The sequence below is a fragment of the Homo sapiens genome, chromosome 9, assembly GCF_000001405.40.
Source record: "Homo sapiens chromosome 9, GRCh38.p14 Primary Assembly".
Classification (NCBI taxonomy): domain Eukaryota; kingdom Metazoa; phylum Chordata; class Mammalia; order Primates; family Hominidae; genus Homo; species Homo sapiens.
Genome location: NC_000009.12, coordinates 74,957,042 through 74,973,494, shown reverse-complemented (window position 1 = coordinate 74,973,494; position 16,453 = coordinate 74,957,042). Strand labels below are relative to the sequence as shown.

Below are 16,453 nucleotides of genomic sequence, written 5' to 3'. Positions count from 1 at the left end.
ACAGTCTCACTTTGTTGCCCAGGCCGGAGTGCAGTGGTGTGACCTCAGCCCACTGCAACCTCCACCTCCTGGGGTTCAAGCGATTCTCCTGCCTCAGCCTCCTGCGTAGCTGGGATTACAGGCACCACGCCACCACACCCAGCTAATTATTTGTGTAATTTTAGTAGAGATGGGGGTTCACCATGTTGGTCAGGCTGGTCTCAAACTCCTGACCTTGTGATCCGCCCGCATTGGCCTCCCAAAGTGCTGGGATTACAGGCTTGAGCCACCGTGCCCAGCCCCTCATTATGATTTTGATTTTTCTCTGATGATTACTGATGTTGAACATTTCCTGTTGATCGTTTGTATGTCTTCTTTTAAGAAATGTCTGTTCATAGACATCTACAGAACTCTCCACCCCAAATGAACAGAATATACATTCTTCTCAGCACCACATCGCACTTATTCTAAAATTGACCACATAATTGGAAGTAAAGCACTCCTCAGCAAATGTAAAAGAACAGAAATCACAACAAACTGTCTCTCAGACCACAGTGCAATCAAATTAGAACTCAGGATTAAGAAACTCACTCAAAACCGCACAACTACATGGAAACTGAACAACTTGCTCCTGCATGAGTACTGGGTAAATAACAAAATGAAGGCAGAAATAAAGATGTTCTTTGAAACCAATGAGAACAAAGACCGTACCAGAATCTCTGGGACACATTTAAAGCAGTGTGTAGAGGGAAATTTATAGCACTAAATGCCCACAAGAGAAAGCAGGAAAGATCTAAAATTGACACCCTAACATCACAATTAAAAGAACTAGAGAAGCAAGAGCAAACACAATCAAAAGCTAGCAGAAGGCAAGAAATAACTAAGCAGAACTGAAAGAGACATAAAAAACCCTTCAAAAATATCAGTGAATCTCAGAGCTAGTTTTTTGAAAAGATCAACAAAATTGATAGACCGCTAGCAAGACTAATAAAGGCGAAAAGAGAAGAATCAGATGCCTCAAGCTCTTTTCTTTTTGCTCTGGATTCCTTTGGCTATTTGGGCTCTTTTTGGTTCCATATGAATTTTAGGAGTGTTTTTTCCTATTTATGTGAAAAATTGCATTGGTATTTTGATACAGGTTGTATTCAGTCTGTAGAATGCTTTGGGCAGTATGGTCATTTTAATAATATTAATTCTTCTGATCCACATGCTTGGGATGTCTTTCCATTAGTTTGTGTCCTTTTCAGTTTCTTTTATCAATGTTTGGCAGTTTTCCTTGTAGAGGTCTTTCACTTCCTTGGTTAAATTTATTCCTAGGTATTTAAATTTTTTTGTAACTATTTTAAGTGGGATTGCCTTCTTGACTTCTTTCTCAGCTAGTGTATTATTGGTGTGTAGAAACACTACCGATTTTTGAGGCTGGGCACTGTGGCTCATGCCTGTAATCCCAGCACTTTGGGAGGCCAAGATGGGGGGATCACTTGAGCCCAGAAGTCCAAGACCAGCCTAGGCAACATAGCGAGACCCCATCTCTAGTTTAAAAAACCAAAACACTACTGATTTTTGTATGCTGATTTTGTATCTTACAACTTTACCAAATTTATTCATCGGATCTAATCATTTTTTTGGTGGAGTCTTTAGGTTCTTCTAGATACAAGATTATATCATCTGCAAAGAGGTACAATTTGACCTCCCCTTTTTCAATGTGGATTGCTTTTATTTATTTATTTAAAGTTTTTAAAAAGTTTAATGGAGCCAATAAGGCATATAAATTGCCAATAAGGCTGGATGTGTTTTATTTCTTTCATTCACTTGATTGCTGTGGCTGGGATTTCCAGTACTGTGTTGACTAGGAGTGCTGAAAGTAGTCATCCCTGTCTTGTTCCAATTCTTAGTGGAAAAGCGTTCAGCTGTTCCTCATTCTGTATGATGTTAACTGTGTGTTATATATGACCTTTACTATGTTGACACACATTTCTTCTATGTCTAGTTGAGAATTTTTATCATGAAGCGATGTTGAATTTTATTAAATCCTTTTTCTGCATCTATTGAGATGGTCATACAGTATTTGTCCTTCATTCTGTTGATGTGATGTAGCACGTTTATTGATTTGCATATGTTGAATCATCCTTGAATCCCTGGGATAAATCTTAGTTGATCATGGTTGGTATGCTGTTGGATTGATATGCTGTTGGATTGGGTTTCCTAGTATTTGTTGAGGAGTTTTTTGTTTGTTTGTTTGTTTTTTTGAGATGGAGTCTCTCTCTTTCACCCAGGATGGAGTGCAGTGGTGCAATCTTGGCTCACTGCAACCTCCACCTCCCGGCTTCAGGTGATTCTCCTGCCTCAGCCTCCTGAGTAGCTGGGACTACAGGTGCTAATTTTTGTATTTTTAGTAGAGACGTGGTTTCATCATATTGGCCAAGATGGTCCTGATCTCCTAACTTCATGATCCACTCGCCTCGGCCTCCCAAAGTGCTGGGATTACAGGTGTGAGCCACCCGCCCAGCCTTATTGAGGAGTTTTGTGTGCATGTTCTTCAGAGATGTTGGCCTGTACTTTTTTTTGAGTCTCTGTCTGGTTTTAGTATCAAGGTAATGCTGGCCTTATAAAATGAGTTATGGAGAATTCCTTCTTTAATTTTTTGGAATAGTTTGAGGAGAATTGGTGTTAGTTCTTAGAAAGTTTGGTAGAATTTGGCAATTAAGCCATCCAGTCTTGCACATTTCTTTGTTGGAAGATTTTTTAAATTACTGTTTCAGCTTCATTACTTGTTACTGGTCTGTTTAGGTTTTCTGTCTTTTTTATTCAATCTTGGTAGGTTGTATATTTTCAGGAATTTATTCATTTCCACTAGGTTTTTCAGTTTATTAGTGTTTACTTGTTAATAATATCTGATAATCTTTTATATTTCTGTGGTATCAGTTGTAATGTCTCCTTTTTCATTTCTTATTCTATTTAGGTTGTCTCTTTTTTTCTTGGTTAGTCTAGCTAACAGTATCCATTTTGTTTATCCTCTTTTAAAAGCCAACTTTTCTTTATTTCAATAGTTTTTGGGGTACAGGTGGTTTTTGGTTACATGGAAAAGTAACCAAAAGTATCCATGGTTACATGGATAAGTTCTTCAGTGGTGATTTCTGAGATTTTGGCACACCCATCACCCAAGCAATGTACACTGCTTTTATCCCAATATGTAGTCTTTTATCCCTCACCACCCCCTCCAAATCCCCAAAGTGCATTATATCATTCTTCTGCTTTGCATCCTCATAGCTTAGCTCCCACTTATAAGTGAGAACATGCCATATTTGGTTTTCCATTCCTGATGACCTCACTTAGAATAATGGCCTCCGGCTCCATTCAACTTGCTGCAAAAGACATTATTTTTTTCCTTTCTGTGGCTGAGTAGTATTCCATGGTGTATATATACCACATTTTCTTTATCCACTTGTTGGTTGGTGGGTTACTTAGGTTGGTTCCATTATCTTTGCAATTGTGAACTGTGCTGCTATAAACATGCATGTGTGTGCACGTGTCTTTTTCATATAATAACTTCTTTTCCTTTGGGTAGATACCAAATAGTGGGATTGCTGGATCAGATGGTAATTCTACCTTTAGGAATCTCCATACTGTTTTCCATAGTGGTTGTACTAGTTTACATTCCCACCAGTAGTGTAAAAATATGCCCTTTTCACCAAATCCACACCAATATCTATTGTTTTTTGACTTTTTAATTACGACTATTTTTGCAGGAGTAAAGTGGTATCATTGTGGTTTTAATTTGCATTCCTCTGATAATTAATGATGTTAAGCATTTTTCATATGTTTGTTGGCTGTGTATCTTCTGTTGAAAATTGTCTATTTGTGTCCTTTGCCCACTTTTTGATGGGATTATTTGTTTTTTTTTTCTTGCTGATTTGTTCAAATTTGTTCAAATATCCAAATGTAGATTCTGGATATTAGTCCTTTTTCAGATGTATAGTTTGCAAATATTTTCTCCCACTGTGTGTTATCTCTGCTATTTCTTTTGCTGTGCAGAAGCTTTTTAGTTTAATTAGGTCCCATTTATTTATTTTTATTTTTGTTGCATTTGCTTTTGGGGCCTTAGTCATGAGTGTTTGCCTAAGCTAATGTCCAGAACAGTTTTTCTGATGTTCTAGAATTTTTATGGTTTCAGGTCTTAGATTTAAGTCTTTGATCCATCTTAAGCTGATTTTTGTATAAGGTGAGAGATGAGGATCCAGTTTCATTCTTCTACATGTGGCTTGCCAATTTTTCCAGTACCAGTTATTGAATAGGGTATCCCTTCCTCAATTTATGTTTTTGTATGCTTCGTCAACGATCAGGTAGGTGTAAGTATTTCGTTTTATTTCTGTGCTCTCTATTCTGTTGCATTGGTCTATGTGCCTGTTTTTATACTGGTCTCATGCTATTTTGGTAGCTATAGCCTTATAGTACAGTCAAAGTGGGGTAATGTGATGCCTTCAGATTTGTTCTTTTTGCTTAGTATTGCTTTGGCTGCACAGGCTCACTTTGGCTTCCATATAAATTATAGGAGTTTTTTCTCATTCTGTGAAGAATGATGATGATATTTTTATGGGAATTGCATTGAATCTGTAGAATGCTTTAGGCAGTGTAGTCATTTTCACAATATTGATTCTACCCATCCATGATCATGGAATGTGTTTCCATTTGTGTCATCTATTATTTCTTTCAGCAGTGTTTTGTAGTCTTCCTTATAAAGATCTTTCACCTCCTTGGTTAAGTATATTCCTAGGTATTTTATTTTATTTTTTGCAGCTATTTTAAAAGGGATTGAGTTCTTGATTTGATTCTCAGCTCGATCGTTGTTGGCATATAGCAGTGCTACGGATTGGTGTACATTGATTTTGTATCCTGAGACTTTACTGAGTTTGTTTATCAGATCTAGGAGCTTTTTGGATGAGTCTTTAGGGTTTTCTAGGTATACAATCATATCATCAATGAACGTCGATGGTTTGACTTTCTCTTTTCCAATTTCAATGCCCTTTACTTCTTTCTCTTGTCTGATTACTCTGGCCAGGTTTGTTTGTTTTGTTTTGTTTTTTAAGATGGGGTCTTGCTATGTTACCCAGGCTGGTCTCAAACTCCTGAGTGAAAACAATCCTCCCTCCTCAGCCTCCAGATTAGCTGGTATACAGGCTTGCACCACTGTGCCTTACTCTTTTATCTGCTTGTTTAGTTCTCCTCTGACCTTTATTATTTCTTAACTTCTACTAATTTGGGGTTTGGTTTGTTGCCTTCCTGGTTCCTTGAAGTGCATCAATAGATTGTTTGAAATCTTTCTACTTTTTTGATGTGTTTACTGCTATAAACTCCCTTCTTAGCATTGTTTTTGCTGTATCTCATAGGTTTTTGTATGTTGCTGTTTTAGAGACAGGGACTTGCTCTATCACTCTGGCTGGAGTGCAGTCGTGTGATTGTAGCTCACTTTAACCTTGAACTCCCGCCTCAGCCTCCCAAGTAGCTAGGACTACAGGTGCACACCACCATGCCCAGCTAATTTAAAAAATGTTGTTTGTAGAGATGTAGTCTTGCTATGTTGCATAGGCTGATCTTAAACTACTGACCTCAAGTGATCCTCTGCCTCAGCCTCCCAAAGAACTGGGATTACAGGCATGAGCCACTGTGTCCAGCCAATATGTTGTGTTTTAATTTTTATTTGTTTCGAGAGACTTTTTGGCCATGTGTGGTGGCTCACGCCTATAGTCCTAGCACTTTGGGAAGCTGAGGCAAGAGGATCACTTGAGCCCAGGAGCCGAGACCAGGCTGAGCAACATGGCAACACCCCATCTCTACAAAAAATTAAAAATTAGCTGGGCATAGTGACACACAGCTGTGGTCCCAGCTACTAAGGAGGTTGATGCTGGAGAACCACTTGATCCTGGGAGGTTGAGGCTGCAGTGAGCTATGTTCGTACTACTGCTCTGCAGCCTAGGCAACAGAGCGAGATCCTGTTGCAAAAAAAGTTTTCTTTTTAATTTCCTCATTAACTCCTTCCTTGCCCAGTGGTCATTCAGGAACATATTATTTAATATCTGTGTATTTGTACAGTTTCCGAAGTTCCTCATGCTACTTCTTTTTTTTTTCTTCTTCTTTTTTTTTTCTGAGACGGAGTCTCACTCTGTCGCCTATGCTGGAGTGCAGTGGCACCATCTCAGCTCACTGCAACCTCTGCCTCCTGGGTTCAAGCAATTCTCCTGCCTCAGCCTCCCGAGTGGCTGGGATTACAGGTGCACGCAACCATGCCCGGCCAATTTTTTGTATTTTTAGTAGAGACGGGGTTTCACCATGCCGGCCAGGCTGGTCTCGAACTCCTGACCTCAGGTGATCCGCCTGCTTCGGCCTCCCAAAGTGCTGAGATTACAGGCATGAGCCACCACGCCCAGCCCATGCTACTTATTTATTGTTTTATCCCATGGTGGTCTGCGAAGATAATTGATGTGATTTCTATTTTAAAAATTTGTTGAGACTTGTTTTGTGGCTTAACATATGGTCTGTGCTGGAAAATGCTTCATGTGCTGATTAGGAGAAAGTGTATTCTATAGCTGTAGGATGAAATGTTCTGTTTAGGTCCATTAGGTCTAAAGTGCAGTGTAAATGTTTGTTAATTTTCCATATAGTTGGTCTAATTCTGAAAGTGGTATGTTGAAGTCCCAAACTCTATGTTACAGTCCATCTCTCTCTTTAGATCTAATATTTGCTTTATATATCTGGGTGCTCTAATGTTGGGTACATATTTATTTATAATTGTTATATCCTCTTGCTCTGTTAATCCACTTATCATTATATAGTGACCTTCTTTGTCTCTTTTAACAGTTTTTGACTTAAAGTCTGTTTTATCTAACATTAGTATAGCTACCCCTGCTTTTTTTGATTACCATTTGATTGGAATCTCTTTTTCCATGTCTTTCATTTGTCTGTATATGTTCTTACAAGTGAGACGAGTTTCTTTTAGGCAGCTTACGGATGGGCCACGTTTTTTTTTAAATCCATTTGGCCAGCCTGTAACTTTCAAGTGAAAAGTTTAATCTGTTTACATTCAAGGTTATTATTGATACGTAAGAGCTAATTCCTGTCATTTTATTACTTGATAGCTACTTGTTTTATATATCCCTTGTTCCTCCCTTTCTCTCTTATTTATTATTGTGATTTGGTGGTTTTCTGTAGTGGTAGTGTTTGAGTCCTTTCTCATTTGTGTCTTTGCTCTACCAGTGGGGTTTGTAATTTTGTGTTTTTGTGGTGGTGTGTATCATTGTTTTCCTTCCAGGACTCTCTTAAACATTTCTTGTAGGGCTCACCTAGTGTGATGAATTCCCTCAACTGTTGCTTGTCTGGGAAAGACTACTTCTCATTCATTTATGATGGATAACTTTGCTGGGTGTAGCGTCCTTGGCTGGCAGTTTTTTCTCTCAGCTCATTGTCTATACCATCCCATTCTTTCCTGGCCTGTAGGGTTTCCATTGAGAATTCTGCTTAGTCAGTTGGGGGATCCCTTATAAGTGACTAGACACTATCCTCTTGCTGTTTTTGGAATTCTCTGTCTTTGAAATTTGACGACCATGTGTCGTGAAGACCTCTTTGAATTGCATCTGTTTGGGGATCTCTAAACTTCCTGTATTGGATCTTTAAATCTCTTACTAGACCAGGGAAGTTTTCAGCTACTGTTTCATTAAATGGATTTTCTATCCCTTTTCTCTTTGCATTCTGGAACACCAAAAATTTGAATATTGGTCATTTTATGGTGTCCCATATGTCATGTAGGCTTTGTTCATTCTTTTTTCTTTATTTTTGTCTGACTGGGTTATTTCAAAAGACCTGTCTGCAAGTTCTGCAATTCTTTGTTCTGCTTGATCTATTTTTGAAGCTTTTAAATGTATATTGTGTTTCATTCAGTGAATTCATCAGTTCCAAAATTTGGTGTTTTTTTTTTTTCATGATCGTTGCGTCTTTGGTAAATTTCTCATTATTTTTTGTATTTGTTGTGTGCTCTTCTATCTCACTGAGCTTCTTTAATATCATTATTTTGAATTCTTTTTCTGGTACTTCATAAATTTCTTTTTCATTGGAATCTGTTGCTGGAGAATTATTGTGTGCCCTTGAAGGTGTTATATTTCCCTGCTTTTTCATGTTTGTTGTGTCCTTACATTTTTCTCGGCACATCTGTTCTAACAGTAACTTCTTCGAATTTTTTTGGATTTGCTTTCATAGTGGAGGACTTTTTCCTGAAGATGTATATGTGGTGTTGGTTGGGTAGGGCACTGTGGCTTTGATTCTCAGTGTGTGCAGTAGTGTAGTCTCTGTATGTTTTCTTTAGGTATAAATAGTGTCAATGGTGTCTGTGATTTTCTCAGTGGCTTAGGGTCCATTTAGTGGAGGCTGTGGTGAAGTTTTGCTGCGGACAGGGACATAGGTGGGCTGGTCCTCAGTTCTCGGTGATGGCACGAGTGGGCTGAGCATGCCTGTCCTTGGGCCCCCGGGTGGGGTATGCTGTCACTGGTATATTAGCAGGTTCAGATGGGCAGATTCTTGGCCCTCCAGTTGGCTTGCTTGGGTGCTGGGTAGTGACAATGGTGGGCTGAGCAGGTAGGCAGTTTGTCAGGCCCCTGGATAGTCAGCATGGCATAAGCCAAGGCAGTAGCACTGGTGGGACAGTTCTCTGGTTCCCGAGTGGTCCATGCTAGCATTGGCAGTGGCTGTGACAGGCTGGGAGGGCCAGTCCCTAGGCTCACAGGGTGGCATATACAGGTGGGTGACATCTGTGATGGTAGTGGCAGGTTGGGTGGGCCTGATGACCTCAGGATCCTGGGAGGAGTGCTCAGGCGTCAATGGCGGTGGGCTGAGCTGGGCAATCCCCAGGGCCCCTGACAGTGTGCTCGGGGACTAGGGGGTACAGAGCCAGTCTAGGCAAACCTGTCCCCAGGCTGCCTGGTGGCGCATGGAGGTGCTGGCTCTCAAAATGGGACCTTGCTGTAGCTGCTTAGAACTCAGGGTATGCAAGACTCAGCCTTAGCTCCCTTTCTGGAGCAATACCATCAGATGGTCTTCCAGCAGCTCCCTATGTTAGTCTCAGGGCCCACAAGGATTGAGGGGGCTCTCCTGTGGTTAGGATTGTAGGAGTCTGCAATAAAAATGTGGACTGCTGGGGGGTCTATCCCTTACCCTTTCCCTTCATTGGGAAGTCTCTACAGGCTCCCAGCCAATCCCAGCTGAGCAGGCTGCCTCACTTCCCTCTCCTTCCTTGTTTTAGGTGTTTCCTGTTCACTTCTCTGTTGAATTTTAGTGTTCTCTCCTAGATAATCTATTCGAACTGTGATTATCTATTCACTATTTTGGTTCTTTATGGAGAAGGTGAGTACCAGATGCTTCTAATCAGCCATCTTGAAGACCGATGGGTCTTGTTTTTTAATTCAATCTGATGTCTTTTAATTGGAAATTAGTTTACAGTAATTATGGATGTGGTTGAATGTAATCTCGCCATTTTGCTATTTTCTACTTGTCCCATTTTCTTTTTTCTCACTTTCTTTTGGATTGAGTATTTTCTTGATTTTATCTCCATTATTGGCTTATTAGTTACAGCTCTTTATTTAAAAAAAGGTTTCAGTGGCTTCTCCAGGTTTTAAAATATGCATGTTCAACTTATACAAACCTCAAATGGTGTACCACTTCATGTATAGTTAGAAGAACCTTACAACAATATACTTCCAATTTCTCTTGCATCATTTATGCTGTTGTCATACATCTTAATTTTATGTGTGTAATAAACCCCAGAATACAGTGGTAATATTTTTGCTTTAGACTAAATTCTTTAACAAAAAAAATCTTTTATATTTATCATCATTTTTGAATAGTTTCTGGTGTGGGTTGCTTTAAAAATATGTCCACAGATTCTTCGATACTCCTACCTTGGGAACAGCCTAATTCCCGTTCCCTTGATTGTGGGCTGTACTAATTTACTAAATGAATAGAATGTCGTAGAAATGTGTGATTCCAAGGCTAGGTCATAAAGGACATGGCACCTTCCATTTTCTCTCAGATCTCTGGCACTGGGGGAAGTCAGATGACATGTCATGAAGATACTGAAATACCCCTATGGAGAATCCCACTTGGTGAAGAAGTTAGGCCTCCTCCAAAGAGTCATATGAATTGAATGAGCTTGGAAGTGGATCCTCCACCCCAGGCAAGCCTTCCTATAATCACACACCCAGCCAACCACATAATTGTAACCACATGAGCGACACTGTAACACCCAGCCAAACTGATGGTGAATTTCTAACCCACAGACTTGAGAAAATGTTGTTTTAACTCACTTAAGTTTGGGGATAACTTGTTATAAAGCACTAGTCATTTCTTTGTACGCATCCAAGTTTCTATCTGCCATCACACTTCTTCCTAGAGAACTTACTTTATATCATAGTCTGCTGACAGTGAATTCTTTCAGCTTTTGTCTAAAAAGTCTTTATTTCTCTTTTATTTTTCAAAGATTTATTCACAGAATACAAAATTGGGGGTTGATTTATTTATTTAAATGTCACTGTTGTTTTGATGAGTACTCCACTATAATTCTTAACTTTGTCCTTCTGTTTCTTTTTTCCTCTGGCTGCTTTAATTGGTTTTGGTATTTATCCTGTTTGGGGTTCTCTAAACTGGTTAGATCTGTGGTTTGATGTTTTGTTATTATTTCTGAAAAATTCCTTGCCATTATCTCCTAAAATATTCTTTCCTGTTTTCTCTTCTCCTTCTGAGACTTTTATTACATGTATGTTAGACTGCTTGTTATTATTCCATAGCTCCTGGGCACTGTTTTTATTGTTTGTTTTTGTTTGTTTTGGAAGCGGAGTTTCACTCTTGTCACCCAGGCTGGAGCGCAATGGCGGGATCTCAGCTCACTGCAACCTCCGCCTCCTGGGTTCAAGCAATTCTCCTGCCTCAGCCTCCCAAGTAGCTGGGATTCCCAGCACCTGCCACCATGCCCGGCTCATTTTTGTATTTTTAGTAGAGATGGGGTTTTGCCATGTTGGCCAGGCTGGTCTCCAACTCCTGACCTCAAGTGATCTGCCCGTCTTGCTCCCGCAAAGTGCTGGGATTACAGGTGTGAGCCACCACGCTGGGCTTTTTTTTTTTTGTAATTTTTTTCTTAGTGTTTCAGAATGACTTTTTAAATGTATCTTCCAATACATTGAATCTTTCCTCAGCTATCTCCATTCTACTAATGAACCTGTTGAAGGGATTTTCATCTCTGATATCATGCTTTTTATTTCTAGCATTTCCATTTATTTTTTATAGTTTTCATCTCTGCTAAAACACCCTGCGTCAATGTGTTGTCCACCTATTTCACTATATCCTTCAATATAGTATATTAATGTTAGTCCTTAACTGATAATTCAAATTTTATCTGAGTCACCTCCAAGTCTTGTTCTATTAATTGCTTTATCTCTTGACAAGGTGTTTTTTTTTTTCTTTTTTTCCCTTGAGTCTTATAATATTGAATTTCATTTATCGTGTGTAGAAAAAAACAGAAACTGAGGTAAACAGTATTTATGTCTGGCTATAAATACATGCCTGTTAGGCTGGTATGGGAGGTTGAGTCAGTATTGTAAGAAACTGAGTTTATGTTTTCTTACTGTTATCTGCAGCACATCACAGATTTCAAATTCCTCTAGCAGTGAGCTTTTCCTGTGCGCTTAAAGGACAGGATGCCAGAGGGTATTTTCCTCAATGTTTCAGCTCCCTCTCCACCTTCCAGCTGTCTCTGTATGCCTTTGCTCCCAAGACATTCTCTCTCCATGCTCTTGCCCCTCCCTCAGAGGTAGACTGCATTTTCTTGTTAGTCTGTGCTAGGCTCATGGTAGAGACAATAAGGAATCTTTGTTGTCTTAGCTCAGCCTCAGTCATAGGCAGGCTTTGCACACCTGGCCTCAGAATTGTGTCCTTCTTAGCATTCCTATCCCTGTATTTATGACTGGTCTTCAGCAGGAATTTCCTACTCCTCTCCCAGTAGTATCAGTGGAGGATGCTAGGCCCCAAACTATTTTCTGTCTCTCTCCTCTAAACTAAGATTTGTGCTTCTACTTTTTCTCCTTAAATGAAAGATCTTTGCCTTTGTCCTTCCTTCTGAGGCAGAGACGTTTTGCCTCTGTTCCTCCCACAAAAGCATTTTCTGCCCTGAGAAAATGTCTGTTAACCCTCCATCAGTGGCTTAAGGCTTCCGTTTTCGGCAGAAAATGAACCAGGGAAACAGGTGGGTTTTTGTGCCTATCCCCACCTCAGGGGCAGCTATACTATATATCTTTGCTTTACAGGGGGGATCACAGCAGACTCCTGCTATGTATGCCCCCACCCTTCTTGAGCACCCAATGGAATGACATGAAAAAAGCTTACGAGTGAAGATATGACTGGACTGCTACAATCTTATGGTAAAACTTGAAAGGTGAAGAGTTGCTTCTTATAGTTAAGCAAAGAAATTCTTGATGGAATCTATTCCTGATAAAGATGCTGTGAACACTATTGACATAACAACAAGTAATTTAGAATAATACTTAAATGTAGTCAATAAAGCAGTGGTAGGGTTTGAAGACTGACTACTGTTTTGAAAAAGTTCTTCTGTGGGTAGAATGCTATCAAACAGCATCAGATACTTCTGTGAAAGGATGAATCAATTGATGCAGCAAACTTCATTGTTGTCTTAAGAAATTGCACAACAACTCCAACCTTCAGCAGCCACCACCCTGATGAGTCAACAGCTATCAACATTGAGGCAACATCTTCCATGAGCAAAAAGACTACGGCTCACTGCAGGTTCAGATAACTGTTAGCATCTTGTAGCAATAAGTTACTTGTAAGTTACAGTATATACTTTTTTTGATATGCTATTATACGCTTAATAGACTATAGTATAGTGTAAGCATCACTTTTTATTTTTTGAGACAGGATTTTGCTCTAGCGCCCAGGCTGGAGTGCAGTGGCACCATCTCGGCTCACTGCAGTCTCTACCTCCTGGGTTAAAGCGATCCTCCTGCCTCAGCCTCCTGAGTAGCTGAAATTACAGGTGTGCACCACCAAGCCCAGCTAATTTTTGTGTTTTTTTGTTTTGTTTTGTTTGAGATGGAGTCTTGCTCTGTCACCTAGGCTGGAGTGCAATGGCACAATCTCGGCTCACTGCAACCTCCGCCTCCTGGGTTCAAGGAATTCTCCTGTCTCAGCCTCCTGAGTAGTTGGGATTACAGGTGCACACTGCCATGCCCGGCTTTTTTTTTTTTTTTTTTTTTTTTGTATTTTAGTAGAGACAGGATTTCACCGTGTTGCCCAGGCTGGTCTCAAACTCCTGAGCTCAACTGATCCACCCACCTCAGCCTCCCTTATGCTGGGATTACAGGCATAAGCTACTGTACCCGGCCAGCATAACTTTTATTTGCACTGGGAAACCAAAAAATTTGTGAGACTCACTTTATTATGATAATTGCTTTATTGTGTTGGTCTGGAACTGAACATGCAGTATCTGTGAGAAATGCCTATATATTTGTGACCAATAGAGTCTACTGTGCACCTTTTTTATTACATTTTGACAATTATTCTATACCCATAAATACAAATTTACTTCAGTTAAAAAGCACAGGCTGGGCATGGTGGCTCACGCCTGTAATCCCAACAATTTAGGAGGCCGAGGCAGGCAGATCACCTGAGGTCAGGAGTTCAAGACCAGCCTGGCCAACATGGTGAAACCCATCTCTACTAAAAATACAAAAATTAGTCAGGCGTGGAGGTGCATGCCTGTAATCCCAGCTATTTGGGAAGCTGAGGCAGGAGAATTGCTTGAACCCAGGAGGCAGAGATTGCAGTGAACCGAGATCGCGCGCCACTGCACTCCAGCCTGGGTGACAGAGCAAGACTCTGACTCAAAAAAAAAAAAAAAAAAAGCATTCCATTATACATAAAATCCATATTATATGTATTATACTAATATTATTAATATAATACATAATATAGGCCATACTTTACTAATAAGTAACATTCGGTTGTTTTCAATCTTTTGCTATGTAGCATTATGCCACAATGTAATAATCCTGTACATAGTTGTTTATGTCTATTGTCAGTAGTATATCTGGAGTATAAGTTCCTAGAGTTACAGTTTCAGAATGTGTGTGTGTATTTTTTAATTTTTACAGATATTGTCAGATTGCTCTTTTTTTTTTTTTTTTGAGATGGAATTTCGCTCTTGTTGCTGCCCAGGCTGTAGTGGCAATGGTGCGATCTTGGCTTACTGCAACCTCCGCCTCCCGGGTTCAAGCAATTCTCCTGCCTCAGTCTCCCAAGTAGCTGGGATTACAGCCGCATGCCCCCACGCCTGGCTAATTTTGTATTTTTTAGTAGAGATGGGGTTTCACCACATTGGTCAGACTGGTCTCAAACTCCTGACCTCAAGTGATCCACCCGGCTTGGCCTCCCAAAGTGCTGGGATTACAGGCATGAGCCACCACACCCTGCCCAGATTGCTCTCTTAAAAGGTTATACTAACTTACACTTTAAAACAAAGAGAGCATCTGTTTCTGCATATCCTTATCCACACAAAATCACTTATTAAAATTTTAATAACCAATATGATACAAACATTGGTAGCTGCACATAGAACACTGGAGATATGAGGACAGTGCCCCTTGAGTAATCTTCAGAGTACTACTGATCAGTGCATGTGTGAGAAAACAAACCATGGCCAGAGAAAAAAAGCACCTGAAGTATCAGAACAGTAGCCAGGGCCCACACAGGGCCAGAGTGTTTGTTCTCACACCCAGACTATAAAACCTCAAAATGTGTAGGGCACTAGGTGTGGTACAGAGAAGTCTTGCCTTGGTAATGTGGAGTCATTAGCCCTAGATTAAAAAAGCTCAGGTCCCACTTGACAAATCTTGTAAGCAAGATCCAAATGGGTCAAACTATGTCTATGTACTTAACAGCATCCTAGAATAAATCTCAAGAATACTTATTGAAATACAAAAATAGCACCCAACAAAGTAAAAAAATATCTGGTGTCTGATCAGAAACTACCAGGTATGCTGACAAACACAATACCAGGTATGCTGGATAACACGACCCATAGAGAGGAGAAAGATCAGGTGAACCCAAACCAGACCTGACACAGATGTCAGAATTAGCAGAGAGCATTAAAACAGAATAACTGTATTCCATATGTTCAAAAAGTTACCTAGATTTGGAAGATAGAAAAAAAGACCCAAATGGAACTAGAGATGAAAAGTACATTGTGTAGGATGAAAAAATAGTGTGTGGGGTTAACAGCAGATAAGGTACAAGAGAACGAACTAGTGAACTTGAAGAAACAGACACTACCCAAAACAAAACATTGAGGAAAAGGCAGCACTGGGTTTTTGTTTTGTTTTGTTTTGTTTTTGTTTTTTTGCCATCCTTTGCTCATGCTTTTGCTATTTTACACTTTTGGACATTCATACTTGCTATTACATCTGACTAGGATCACATGATTTGCCCCCCCTCACTTTCCTCAGGTCTTGGCCCAAAAGTCTTGTCAGAGATGCCCATCTTGACCTTTTATCCTGCCTTATTTTTATTTTTCCTCAGCACCACCTGATAGATGTGCTTATTTATTGTCTGTCTCCCCCAAGATTCCTTGGACAGTCATGGGGTAGGGATTTTTGTTTTACTGTTGTAACCCAGTGCCTGGTCTGTAGCAGATGCTTAAAATATGTATTCAAAGAATAAATTGAGTGAATGTGATTATGAAAGAATACAGTTATATTTCTGGTATGGGTACCTGTATAGATGACTGATGACACTGGAGGATGGAATATGAGATGCCTACAGAACACCCAGATGGAAATAATGGACACTCATTCAGGCAACGAATATTTACTGAGCACCTACCATGCTAGTCACTTTGAGTATATGACTGGGGACAAAACCCAAAAAACAAACTGGAACCCTACCTTCAACAAGCTTACTTTCTAGAAAGGGAGACAATAAGAGTAATAAGTAAGTGAAATATATAATAGATTAGAAAGTAATCATGCTATGGGAAAAGAGGGGAATCAAGAGTCAGGAGAAATGTAGAGTGAGTTGCAATTTTAAATAAGGTGGTTAAGGTAGACTCATGAGAAGTCACATGGATCTGATGCTCAGAGGAGAGGTTTATCTGTTAAACTGGCAATAATCTGCCCCAAAGTTTTTGGGATCAAATGAGATATGTAAAAGTTCTGGCAATTAAAAAATTTTAAACTACTTCCCCACCCTACACTGCTGTGAGGCTTCAGTTAGTCTGAAACACACAAGTTTAAAGATAAGCAGAATAAGTTTGTGTGTATTCCTTTTTCAGTAAGAAGAAAAAAAGTTTCCCTTCTTTGTTGTTTTGTTGTAACTAATGACTTCTGAGTTATTATCCACAAAATTATGGGATATGTAGAATAGGTAGAAG

General features: G+C 39.7%; 1 long non-coding RNA gene across 1 annotated transcript in view, besides 1 other annotated feature; it reads right to left on the bottom strand.

Moving 5' to 3' along the window:
* Window positions 1-16,453, bottom strand: part of CARNMT1-AS1 (CARNMT1 antisense RNA 1) — a 44,418-nt gene that overhangs the window by 23,888 nt on the left and 4,077 nt on the right. The window lies entirely within an intron of this gene.
* Window positions 8,122-8,694: an enhancer, noted in NCBI's record as "H3K27ac-H3K4me1 hESC enhancer chr9:77579717-77580289 (GRCh37/hg19 assembly coordinates)". NCBI's record gives its function as "activates a minimal SCP1, AML or CMV promoter by ChIP-STARR-seq in primed H9 embryonic stem cells {active_cell/tissue: H9 hESC(primed)}" and the evidence as "EXISTENCE:reporter gene assay evidence [ECO:0000049][PMID:30033119]".